The sequence below is a fragment of the Homo sapiens genome, chromosome 6 (assembly GCF_000001405.40).
Source record: "Homo sapiens chromosome 6, GRCh38.p14 Primary Assembly".
In the NCBI taxonomy this organism is placed as follows: Eukaryota; Metazoa; Chordata; class Mammalia; order Primates; family Hominidae; genus Homo; species Homo sapiens.
Genome location: NC_000006.12, coordinates 148,508,444 through 148,520,941, shown reverse-complemented (window position 1 = coordinate 148,520,941; position 12,498 = coordinate 148,508,444). Strand labels below are relative to the sequence as shown.

Sequence of the window (12,498 nt, the reverse complement as noted above, 5' to 3'; positions counted from 1 at the left end):
AAACAAAAAAGCTCCCATTTTTGTTGTTAGATTTACGAACTTTCTGCTTGCCTCTACTAATAAAATAAATGTGCTTTAAAATGTTTTCAAATCACCAAATTGGTGACTGTGATGACGGCAGTTTTTCCATGAGCCTGCTCCTATTGTTTTAATTTTAAAACCAAGAGCAAGCATCTCTTTCAAGGGTGAAATGCCCTTCTGTTTTGAATCAGCTTCTTTGAGGTCAAGTGACATAATGGCCGAGAATCAAGACAGCCACTCCTGGAGGCGGCCAAACCCCACCCCTGTACCCTGGAAGCCCCTCTCTGGATTAGCTTCAATGCTTATTTTAATGGGCACTCAAACAGCTTCATCTGACAAGAGGAGAAATGGAAGAGAAGGTGAAAGCTGCCTGGAAGTGAAAGCAGGATTTGAAATTGAAGGTGATGGTGGGATGTGCCCTGACGTCATGAGCAGGAGAGAGGGGAGGAAGCCGGTCCCCGCAGAAGAAAGGCCATAATGCTTGACTGCACATCACAGAAATGACAAGGCCGTCCTCAGGACCATCTTTGTGACTCACAGACTTCTGGTGGATTCTCAAGAGAACCCTTTTAGTACAGCGGTCGACCGTGGCGGCCCACTTCCTCTTTGCCTCCTCATCCTCCTCCAGCAGGCACCGCCTCAGGTCCTGTCTCTCAGCCTTGCTCAGGGTCCTGTCTGAGGCAGGCCGCACTAGCTGGGTCAGGTTCAGGTGGCTGTACAGGCTCCGCTCCACCACGTAGGTGATATTGAACTCGCTGACCGAGGTGCGCCCGCGCACCCTCCTGCCGGGGAAGCCGCAGCTCCCGCCCCCTTTGCCTTTCTGCCGGAGCAGCTGCAGGTCACAGGTGGTGCTGGTGACGCCTTTTCTGGAGGGACGCTGGCAGAGAAAAGCTCTGGAACAGGAATAATTAGTATCCGTTTTCTTCAAGCGGATTTGCTTCCGGACACTCTGAAACTCCTCCAGGGACACCAGAAGGTGGTGCCTGCGACGGTGGTTGTCATAGAAGCAAACACCATCCGTACTTACCCCGTGGCTTAGGGACCCGAGACCCTTCTTCATCTCCCCCTCGGTGAGGGAGCGGGACACTTTCTGGGCCTTTTCTTCTTCTGGGTAGGAGAAGAATGTCCCCATCTTCTTGGGGGGCTTAATCAGGCCCCGGCTCTCTCCTTTGCTGAAGGTTTTGACCAACTTCCGGCCAGCCCCCCAGGTGTCCAGGCTGCTGGAGGATGGAGACGTGGTGAGAGAGTCTGAGTCATCTTCGGGAGGTTTCTCAGGAGAGCCATCAAAGAAAAGGGGCTTCTTGTGCACGCCAGAGTAGAGGGCGGACCGTTCATCCAGGACCGGCGAATTCTCAAACACGTGCTCCTCCCCACCTGGAGGGAAACCAACAGAGTCTCTTGTGAACACACCTTTGCATTCTTGCATACATCTTTCTTTACATTCACCACCTTTCTCCGTATCATGACCCTCTTTATAAACCCAGCTCCCACTTACATATGTACAGAAAAATGAAAATACACTGTGCAAATACATGGTTTCACATGAGCTTAATGTTAAAAGGATTCAGATGTGTTTTCTTCTTCTTTAAATATCTTTGTAGACCTAACACCTTCACAGGCGTATTTAAAATGCCGTTTGCAAAATCTAAGCTAGCCATAATCACAATATGCCTTAGCATTTCGAGATAATGCCCTCTGCAGTTTGTAAATGCAACCCTCTGAAACTAGGAATCAGGATCTTTCCCCCTTCTGAAAGGCACTCCTTTATGTTGGCTCTGGTCGCTTTTTATAGTTGGAGTGTGATAAATGTCATGTGGCTGACAGTGATTGTTTTATTGGTACATATGCCATTTGAGTGACTAAATCTCCAAGGAAGTTTTGGTGGGGAGAAACACTATAAAGCGTTGTATCTTGCAAATGTGACTGACACATCGTCTCCAGCTGACAGGCCAAATGCAAAAAGTTAGGAAACTCAGTGATCCCGGCCAGATACTCCCATCAACTCAGGCCTCACTAGGAGCAGCCAGGGCGTTTAAGGGCCCTGACACGCAGGCAGCTCCAGGGTCCCACTGGTCTCAGGGATTCCAGCTCTTGAAGCCCTCACTGGAGCCAGGTGGCAAGCCAAGCCCTCCAGAGCCCGGTGGAAAGGTTTGGACTTGGCAGGAAAACCAAGTTCTTTTCCGCATGTGTTATGTGAACAGATGTGAGAAAAGAAGTAGGTCAAACTGTGGGTGTAGCGATCCCAACTGGCTGTGTCCCTTTAATTATAGGGAAACTTTGAGCTCTGCAGCTTTCCACCCGCTGAATTGTGAAGAGGAAAAAAGGAAAAGTTCCTTGGAACAGAAGGATGGCACTAAATATACCAGCTGGGACGAGGGCGCCAGTGTGTGGTTAAATGTCAGAGAAAAAGGGGAGCTATGCTCAGTTCAGAGCAAAACTCAGAGGGGAAAAGAACGGCAGCCATCCTTTAAAATTCTAAAAATGGCTTACTTTCCCAATTGATGGGATTTATAGGTACAAATCTAACAACAACAACAAAAAAGAACAGCTGCTATTAAATACAACCCAAGGTCAACTTTACATTCATGCCCAGCAGACGGTGGTGGGGAAGCTGGAAAGTGGAAAAGAAGATGTAAAACTCTGCCTAGCCCACAGTCCCCTGAAGAGTTGTTCAGGGATCTTTCAGGGGGACTTTAAAGGCAGGATTCGGGGTTCTCACAGAAATTCACCAGCCCAGATGCAGGGTACCAATATCCTGGAAGTTTCCCGCTCCTTCCTCAGGACACCTGACTGACAAGGTGTGGAGACCAAGGGTTCTTATGCTGTTGGAAATAAAAATGGCAACCTCTTCTAGTTATAGTCTACCCTCCACTTCCAAGAAGAAGCGACTGGGCTAAGACTAGAGGCACAACCTGTGGCAGGGGCAGCCCAACCATGGACTTCTCTATTAAAGAAGTCGAGCGTGGTTGTGGCTTCACCATCCGCCCAGGTGTCCACGCAGATGTACAAAGGCCCTTCTCCACCCACAGTCCTAAGGGGTTTCAGGGAAGTCAGGTGAGTCCACCCTGCGTATCCTAAGGATCTGTCACTCAGCAGTTGCTTTGGACATTTTCTGGGCTCTGTGCTTAGGATTGTTGTCAGAGATTCCAATACTTTGGTGTCACATCTGAGTCTGGAACCAGCTGGTGCACGCATGTCCATGACGAATGTAGCTCTATTCTCGGGTTCAGGAAAGTCAGCATCTGGTAAGGGGTTGTGAGGGAAATGTAGCAAACGCTTCCCAGGAGGCTGCATCTGCCGGTGCTGAGGGCAGGCCTCCTGTAGTGCGGGCTTTTCCGTCTGAGCCTGACCAGTGGCTTGGAATCCCAACCTTGACCTGGATGGCTTGAACTTGGAGCATCGCTTCTCCCATCCTTCTCTGACTTGAGCGTACAACTCCCCTACTGGAAGAGTGACCATCAAGATGAGCTCACTCCATCACATTTGCTGTGATTTGCTTCACGTGAAGGCCTCCATCATCTATCTTATTCAGCTGAGACCGGCTTACCAAAGGCAAGGTGATTTTGGCAGGAGGAGAGAGGTAGGCTGTGGGCTGACTTAATGCCAGGAACTCAGGGGTATGCTCTGCATCCAGCCCGGCTCTGCCACTCACAGCTCCATGACCTTGGGCAATTACTTCCTGGCTCTGAGCCTCTGTTTCCTCATCTGTAATAATGCCTACCTATCTTTCCATAATACCCCTGGCAAGGCTGTTGTGATGATAACAGTAAACATTATCCTCATAAAAGAGTTACGTGAAAGTGCTGTATGAACTGAAAGGCTTTCTACAAAACTGGCGATTCATTACTGGAGAGAACTGAGTGGGAGCAATGAGGGAAGGAAAGGTGTGCATTCTGTGGCAAAGACACAGAAATGGGCAGATAAAGGGCACCAATGTAGCCTAGGTTAAAGATTGGCCAGGGTTGTCCCTGACAGGATAAGGACTTGAAACCCAGGGTGCAAGGGTGAGAATGAATGAAGAACTGATCTCTCTCCTGGCTTTCCGAGGACTCCAGAGCTGGTGGGGGAGACAGGTGGCAGCGGAGTGAGAACAGGCTGCTGTCAGGGAGCAGGCTGCCTGGACATCGTGCTGGGCCTTCTGCTGGCTGGCTGAGTGGCCAGGAGTCAATTACTTTTAGCCTCTTTGAGTCTCAGGTTCCTCATTTTCGAAATGAGGATGGTGTAAGTGCTTACTTCTGGTAGCTATTCTGAGGATGACATTAAAGAGAATATAAAATCTAAAGTGTTAAGGAAAGTGCCTGGCACACGGTGTGCCCTCAATACATGATGATTATCATGCAGACAACTTGGTATTAGCACAGGCACGCAGGAAGTCAAAGGATCAACCCTTTGTAAGTCCAAGGGCGGGGGAGGGGGGAGGGGGGAGGGGGCGCCTACTGGCGTATGAATCCTTCCTGCTCTGCAAGATGGACAGGGGCCAAGATAGCCTCTCCCAAGTACCACTGCCAGTGAGGACCCTCAGAGAGTTCTCTATTGTGCAGGGGTTGGAGGAAGTTCCAGTTTAGCAGGGAATTGGAGGGCAGCCCAAAGCAGGCGCCTTGAGCTACACACACACACCTGGGGCCTCTCCTGAGAAGATGGGTGAGATTGGCCAACGGCAACTCAGCACCCTGACTCATCAGATGCCAGAGTGTACCTTAGGATTTGAGTTCACTAAATCCATCTTCCATCTGTGAAGCCTGATTTGTGCCCAGATAAATTAAAGTTCAGAGCCAGAATTCCATATGGTTATTACTTTTTACGTTAGAGTTATCCCTTTTGCTATATTTTTCCTTTTCCATTGATGCCTCTCAAAGATAGTTGGATTGATTTATTCTGAAATAAATGTGCAAATTACAATGTCTGTATTTTTAGTCATGTTATTCTAGTGGAAAGGCTGCTTTAACACACCACTATCATGTGTGAAGGGCCCACTGGGGAACAGGCCCAGGACTAGATACTTTGCCCATGTTATCTCAGTTATGGATGAACCCCACCCATCTATTTGTTATATCTGAGGCTTGATTTTGGCCGAGTGTTCATGAGATTTGTTACCAAATGTGCCCTTAAAGTTGAATGTTGGCAATTCCATATGGTTCCCCCAACAGTACCAACTGACCCTGTCTGTGATTTCGGTAAGGGCCGCCACAGGGTACATTCAATACTGTGGAATTCACGACTGGCGGGCAGGTATTAAAACACCCAAATGTAAAATCAGCATTGCATCCAAATGTAAACAGAATTACCACGCAAAAAGATACCCTAATGAAACCCCGGAACTGAAAACAACCCAAGAAATTGGCCACAAAGCTGATTTCTCTCCCCATGTTTTTGTTTTCCATTCGAATCCCCATTCTCTCACAGTTACCCACTTAGCTTCGGTATTATTCTAAGGGATTTAAACCCACGAATAATACCAAACACAAATTAAAAGCAGCAATAAAAACGAAAAACCCTTATCTTTGCAAATAAGGGGAAATTCATTTCTTTACATGGCTTGATTTTATTTCTATATAACAAAAATGCCTCTACAAAAATAATTTTAAAACCTACATGTTAAAATTTTGAAATTCCTCACAATGTAGATATGACATTTTAACAAGTAAGGTGTTTTTTAAAAAGCATAGTCTTTCCAGTATTTTTATCCAATTCAATTATTTTCATTTTTCAAACAGAAAAAATCTTATCTTATTCTTTCATTTTACCTTTTTGGGGAGAATTTATAAGATGCTGCAAAGAGGCACATTACTAACAAGAGAGATGAATAAGGTTGAGATTTGAACTGTCATAATTATATGTCAAAGGCTAACTATCCATTTCAATAAATCCAAGCTGATGTCTTTTGACATTACTGTTTCACCTGGCTAACCCCAGCAATACAACTCTTAAAAGATTCTCTTAGAATCCTAGGTCCTTAAAGCCCCCATTTGAATTGAGACTTGAGACTCTCTACAGGAAGAACAAATCAACCCTGAGAAATTTAAAGGGATATTAGGTGCCTTGATTGTTAGGCATTTCTTCAAAATGTATGTACATGAAATTTGAACTAAATTCACTGAGCAAGAACCATAGTCCTTTCTGGGATTGGAGGCTCATGTGAAAAAGTTAGAAAGTTTATATAAAATGGTATAAGCTCATACATAAAGCTATACTACACCTCGAGAAAATTTCCATTTCCCATCTTTTAAATTGAAATGACTAAGCACCCCAAACGCCTGACACCAGGACCCTTCATTCCATCACATCATCGCATCTGAGCATCACTCTGCTGGCAGGCATAGTCCTGCCAGATTCAGCCAGAGCTCAATGCATTTTCCACTTGAAATCGTATCCCTTTTCTGCTGAGAAACTGACCCCAAATGATTTCTTTTGGAATAACCAGGGTGGAGTCTGCCTTTTTTTTTTTTTTTTTTTTTTTTTTTTACCTTCAGTGCTGGGTTTTTTCATTTCTTCCACCCTAATTAGTTTCTTTCTGACTCTGCGAGTGGAGTTTACCAGCTTGTGTAACCTCTTAAACTTCACCGACTCCTCAGTCTCATCATCCGATTGTTCTCTTGACTGGCAAAGAAACAAAGGAAAAAGTTAATCAGGTAATTGCTCCGAGCTTTGCCCGTGTGGCTGGATGTAGCCGGCCTTGCTGCCAGTCTGAACCTCGGCAGCTCTGTTGCTGAACTTGGGAACCAACAAAAATTTGCCCAAGAGGTTTACAAAGTGCCACATACCATCTTAAGATCTAAATCGGCGTAGAATTAGGTCCTAGGCACGGAAACACACATCCTTGCCCTCAAGGGCAAGTGGGGGCAAGTGGCCTGTGGGGGCATCTGTCTCAACTACTTCCTTGTCCTCTCTTAGGAGGACTCCAGCAGGACTCTCCCTCCGATGCTGGCCCTGTAATTCCAGTTTCACTGCTGTGGTTTGGGCCAGGCTCTCATCTGTCTGGCCCATCAGGGCTTGCTGTTTAACGTGGTCATCAACTACTTCTCCAAACCAAAATTCTGTTGGCTTTTTCCAGCCCTCCCCCGAAAATCAAAAACAGCAGGGCAGGAAAGGGAAAGAGATGCAAACAGCCTCTTCCATCCCATTGGCTAAGACTGTCTGCCACATTGCAGCCAGCCCTTCCGCCTCTCCCGGCTCCTTCTAAGGGCTCACAAGGCGAATGTGAGGACAGACCCTGCATTCCTCCAAGAGAGACAAGGGAAAAAGCTGACCTTTCAGCCATACAGTACAGTCCATATTCCCCAGCAGCCCATTGCACTTTGCAGGGAGTCAGCATGCTCAGGCCCAGCTGTTTTCCCTCAAGTATCAAACATTACAGAGAGAGGGAAAAATATCTCTCTCTGCAGCAGTGACCCAGGCTAAAAACAATCCTTCCCTTGTGAACAAAATGAGGGTTTCATTTCTAAGTCAGCTCCAACATCCAATATGCAGCTTCCTCTGTTGTATCTGTTCAAAATGTGAAACAGCATAAGAGATCTCTGACTAAACGAGTGTGCAACACGGGTGCGTGGGCATGCCTGGGAGCAGCCGCCTCGGCACACCCTGTGCAGTGGGTGAGCAATTCCAGCTCACGTCGCACGCCCTGACAACAACCTTCTCTCCATTTCCTCCAACCCAGTTCATGGAACAGTAGGAAGATAAATGCCTCAAATGAACACACAAAACAAAAACAAGCCTCATCTCTGAATACAAATCTAATGTAGAGACTTTTCTCCCAAAGAAAAGCTCTCACTAATCCCAGTGTTACAGACAATAAAACAGATAAGCAAGAGTTGCAGAGAATACCTCAAGAGAAGAAGAAGTAGAGTTTCTATGCATTATTTAGGCATAAAAATGGTGCACGTTGTGAGTCCTCTTTGCACTATGGCACGAACATTAGTACAAGGATAGTAAGGGATATAAACAACTGATGTCCTGGCCTCTGTCCTCACCCTGGAACTCAAGGCATGGAGCCATGGTACTTTCTCCCTGTATGACTATCAGCAAACCGTTTACCCACTTATGGTTAACTATAAACCTAACATCAGCAAGTCATCAGGACAGAAGTGTTTCTCAGACTTCTCTTCTGTAAAGTGTATTAATATCTATGTCCAATTTCTCTAAAATTACTAGATAAAATGTTGCCTGCAAGTGTCAGAATTAAAGCTAAGTACTGGTTACCTAGTAATAAAGAATGGGAACTGGACTCCCAGGTAACGGTGGGGACAGGCTACACTGGATGCTGACAATTAGGCTTAAAACTAAAAATATAAAAAATTAGAATAATAAGTGTAGTTCATAATACAAAATGGTTTTGTCTGGTTTGAGTTTCATTTCTACTTGGTTGGATTGTTGACATGTGATGAAATGGTTGGAGCGGTCAACCAGAGGAATGAGAACTTGGTTAACCCTCATTCTGGGTAACAAGCACCTGAAAAACCCACAGTTCATGGAATTACATATAAACATTTAAAAACATTCTGCTCTCTTGATGTAGCTCAAAAGCCAAGCAATTCTAATAGAAGAAGAATCAACATTATGTTATAGAAAGTCTCTATAACTATCAACGGGACAAACCTAGAATATGTCTCTAATCCTCACATTTAAAAATGTTGAAATCAGCACTTTGGGAGGCCGAGGTGGGAGGATCACGAGGTCAGGTGATTGAGACCATCCCGGCTAACACGGTGAAACCCCGTCTCTACTAAAAATACAAAAAATTAGCTGGGCGTGGTGGCGGGTGCCTGTAGTCCCAGCTACTCAGGAGGCTGAGGCAGAAGAATGGCGTGAACCCAGGAGGCGGAGCTTGCAGGGAGCCGGGATCGTGCCACTGCACTCCAGCCTGGGCGACAGAGCGAGACTCTGTCTCAAAAAAATAAATAAATAAATAAATAAATAAATGTTGAAATCAAATGAAAATGAAATAGGTACAGATTGTTTGTAATCAAAATACAAGAAGCTGTGTTACAGGATGAAAATTACTGATGTGTATACCTCATACCTAGTTTGCTGGTTGGTGGTGGTGGTGTGGGTGTGTGTATGCATGGGACAGTGGGCAGTAAGAGAAATGGGGTATAGAAAAAACTAATACAAAAATTTTAGTCCACAAAGACACAAATCATTATATGTACTAGAGTGAACTTTCCAAGGAGAAATCAAAATAGTTAAACAAGGACAGTAGATTTAAAGGCAATGCCTTCCTCATAAAATCCTACTTTCCTCTGCCCAGATTCACTGTGGCAAAAAGTAACATATTCCAGGTACTTATTTAATTGTTTTCACATGTTCCATTTATTTTTGAGAAACACACCTTTGAATTATACCTTTGAATTATACTTCTTTGTACCTTTGAATTAATGCTATTTTTATTTTTCTAGAAAAATCAAGATTTGGAGGTGTTTGTCACTGACAAATCACAAACCATGGCAACCAAGTCCTTCTTTTCCATGATCATTTTTTGGACGCTAGACAAGATAGATGCGGCACAATTTATACGAAGAAAAATGCAATATAAAATCCAGGTCATCCAAGGTGTGTGTGTGTGTGTGTGTGTGTGTGTGTGTGTGTGTGTGTGTGTGTGTAATAGAAAATTAACCTAGAAGTCAGCCTAGAAGTTACTTGAGTTCAACAACCTATCCCAAGAATGTATTGCTGCATCCATGATATTGATGGAGAGGTGTTGACTTCTCACTTCCTACTGAGTCCAGAGGAAAAAAGCGTTGTGAAATATTTGCCTTTAAAAAATTCTCTCCAGCTGTTTTAACACAAAAACGCTGTAAAAGGCTTGCATTTCTTCTAAACTGGAGAGTAAATCTTGAATTCCTCATGTCATATTTCTCTTTTTAAGTATATTCCACTTCCCAAATGCTGAAAATAACACAGCATGTCTTTCTTTTTTTTTTTTTTTTTTGAGATGGAGTCTCGCTCTGTCTCCCAGGCTGGGGTGCAGTGGTGCGATCTCAGCTCACTGCAACCTCTGCGTCCTGAGTTCAAGCGATTCTCCAGCCTCAGCCTCCCGAGTAGCTGGGATTACAGGCACACACCACCATACCCAGCTAATTTTTGTATTTTTGTAGAGATGGCATTTCGCCATGTTGGCCAGGCTGGTCTTGAACTCCTGACTCTCAGGTAATCTGCCCGCCTCAGCCTCTCAAAGTGCTGGGATTACAGGCATGAACCACCATGGCTGGCCAGCATGTCTTTTTATTCAGGAAATACACCACCAGGGATGGGGGCTTGAGAATTTTTATATTTATAAACATAAAAAATATATAATTTTTAAATTCAAATACTATGTATATTTTAAAAGAAATCTTCCTATGTGAAAAACTTCGTAGAAGATAGAGGAAATCTGCATTGTATATAAAATAAATGACTGATTCTAAGAAATAGGTTCAGCACTGTTATAGAACAGGTTTTAAACTAAAGTTAAAAAATAAAAGTATATATTCACACACATTCAAACATGAGATAGTGTGGCCTCCCCTCCCTTGTCCCACCCTGGGTCAGAGTTAAACAGATCATCTTCTCAGTGAGAAGGTGAACTCAATCATCTGTATGACAGCTCCTCACCAGAAAACCTTCAAGAGAAAAAGGCAACTTATCCCACCAAAAATTGTGGAAAAGTGGATTTCCAATATTGTAAACAGAAACATTTGATTTCCAGCCTCTCCTCTGCAGATTTTTTTCCAGCAGAAAGCCCATATGGCTCAACTTTTAATTACTTTGGCTAATGCTATATGTAGTAATTCTGTGGTGAATGCTTAAGTGTTTCATTTCTGGTTTCCATAGCAACATTACATCAGATTGCAGACAGCTGGCTCCACAGTTTTAAACCATAACAAATTGACCAAGCCAAGACACAAAACTATAGCTGCTTTAAAGAGATAGCACACCATTTGCCGGCCAGGCCACTGAATGAGGAACCTATGGGGCCCGTCTGGCACCCGGAGGAGGGTGGAGCCTCCTTCCTTCCCAGCTTCTTTTGGAACAAGTGCATCCTTGACACATCTGCAATGTTCTAATAGGAAAGACATGGAGCCAGCGTGGAGAACTTTTTATAACACAGCTACACGCTGGATGATCAGAAAAAAGGAACAAAATGAATAGCATCTGTGAGTACAAACATTTGTGTGCCGGAGCTCACTAAATGCATCCTCTCCCTGCTCCAAGTAAACCTGTCACTGCTGGTCGGTAACAGATACTTCACCGGACCCTGTAACAAACAGTTCTTGGGACTGCAGTGTGCAGAACAAATCCTTTCCAAAAGCCATATGGCACAGTTGTGCAAGCACAATGGCAATATGCTGTAATAAAGGTTAAAACCAATTTGCAAGGAGCAACTAGACCCTTTGGAGGACCGCTTGAGACCACCACGCTGATCACAGGATTACAACTGTGCCCTCTGCAGAAGCACTTTCACTCAGCTTGTTTCCCTAGCTCGAAACACACGACACGCTGTCACAATTAACACCCAGACTAAGCCCACTCATCTCCCCCAGCGCCACGTAACACCGAGAGATATTTAAACATTTCTGAAAAGCAATTTGAAACTGGAAATGTACTTGCCTGTGAAATTCACACACTGGTCTCTCTAACCTAGCGCATGATTAGACATACATACTTCAGCTTTCTAGGTCGGCTGTGTCACAGCGTTAATCTTAAACTTAAGAGAAGGAAGCCAATCAGATATAAGCTTATGAAAAGCAATGTGCAACACTGTCTGAATTCAAGTCCTCCCCAGGAAAAGCCTCCACAATTCACAGCTGAGCCATATATGCTCATTGTCTCAAATTCTCAAAACAATACTCACTATTCTCTAAAAGTTACGCATTTTCACTGGTGAAAATGCCAGGCAAAAATGCTCAGGGTTACCAGGTAGGGAAGTAAACAGGCGAAGAAGGACAAATCTAGAGGAATTTAAGAAGAAAAGAGAGAGAAACATCATAGGCAGGAGCAGCAAAAACTTTTACTTGAAGCAACAGAAAACACATTCTTTCTTTCCCATTGAACGCATTCAGTGACTTACCGGCTTCGGCATTTAGCAAGCCTAAGGGGTAATTCTGAAGACGTCCTGTACCTCCCACCCCCCTCCCCACTCGGAGAGCGTCTTCACTCTTGTAGCATCAAACTCCGCAATCTCAAAATTAAGATTAGGCACTCCTGGAACATGTCTCTCTGGAGTTACATGATCAGGCAGGCTCCACCGTCACAGCTCAGTATCCGAAGGAGAAAGGGGAAGACACTGGATTCAATTAGCTTCTTTCTGCTTGCTGACTGATTCCCCAGTCGCTTGCTAACTGCATAACTCGCAAGAAAGGCATAAGTCATCAGCTCTAAGCAAATCTCCTATTCACCACAAGGAAAAAAGGGAGTGTTGTGCATGGCCAACAATCCCTGTTTTCACTGAGGAAGGCTCCCTGACCTCCTGCTGGCCTCCAGTTCCTTAATTACTGTCTATGG

At 44.6% G+C, this 12,498-nt stretch overlaps 1 protein-coding gene across 17 annotated transcripts in view, besides 5 other annotated features; it reads right to left on the bottom strand.

The window, feature by feature from the left end:
- The window catches only part of SASH1 (SAM and SH3 domain containing 1), a 358,577-nt gene that overhangs the window by 31,103 nt on the left and 314,976 nt on the right, over positions 1-12,498 (bottom strand). For 8 of the 17 annotated variants that reach the window (XM_017010599.2, XM_017010600.2, XM_047418497.1 and 5 more), the window contains 2 exons: positions 6,486-6,618; positions 560-1,395 (listed from right to left, as the gene is read on the bottom strand). In XM_017010599.2, coding sequence (XP_016866088.1) covers positions 560-1,395; positions 6,486-6,618 — 969 coding nt within the window. Of the gene's footprint in view, positions 1-559; positions 1,396-6,485; positions 6,619-6,782; positions 8,698-11,604; positions 11,792-12,064; positions 12,444-12,498 lie in introns of those variants that run through there. The other 9 variants (XM_024446384.2, NM_001346505.2, XM_047418500.1 and 6 more) reach the window with 5 other exon arrangements.
- Positions 264-803: an enhancer, noted in NCBI's record as "H3K4me1 hESC enhancer chr6:148841275-148841814 (GRCh37/hg19 assembly coordinates)". NCBI's record gives its function as "activates a minimal SCP1, AML or CMV promoter by ChIP-STARR-seq in primed H9 embryonic stem cells {active_cell/tissue: H9 hESC(primed)}" and the evidence as "EXISTENCE:reporter gene assay evidence [ECO:0000049][PMID:30033119]".
- Positions 538-587: an enhancer, noted in NCBI's record as "active region_25233". NCBI's record gives its function as "activates an Ori minimal core promoter by ATAC-STARR-seq in GM12878 lymphoblastoid cells {active_cell/tissue: GM12878}" and the evidence as "EXISTENCE:reporter gene assay evidence [ECO:0000049][PMID:35858748]".
- Positions 3,615-4,115: an enhancer, noted in NCBI's record as "H3K4me1 hESC enhancer chr6:148837963-148838463 (GRCh37/hg19 assembly coordinates)". NCBI's record gives its function as "activates a minimal SCP1, AML or CMV promoter by ChIP-STARR-seq in naive H9 embryonic stem cells {active_cell/tissue: H9 hESC(naive)}" and the evidence as "EXISTENCE:reporter gene assay evidence [ECO:0000049][PMID:30033119]".
- Positions 6,450-7,247: an enhancer, noted in NCBI's record as "H3K27ac-H3K4me1 hESC enhancer chr6:148834831-148835628 (GRCh37/hg19 assembly coordinates)". NCBI's record gives its function as "activates a minimal SCP1, AML or CMV promoter by ChIP-STARR-seq in naive H9 embryonic stem cells {active_cell/tissue: H9 hESC(naive)}" and the evidence as "EXISTENCE:reporter gene assay evidence [ECO:0000049][PMID:30033119]".
- Positions 7,248-8,046: an enhancer, noted in NCBI's record as "H3K27ac-H3K4me1 hESC enhancer chr6:148834032-148834830 (GRCh37/hg19 assembly coordinates)". NCBI's record gives its function as "activates a minimal SCP1, AML or CMV promoter by ChIP-STARR-seq in naive H9 embryonic stem cells {active_cell/tissue: H9 hESC(naive)}" and the evidence as "EXISTENCE:reporter gene assay evidence [ECO:0000049][PMID:30033119]".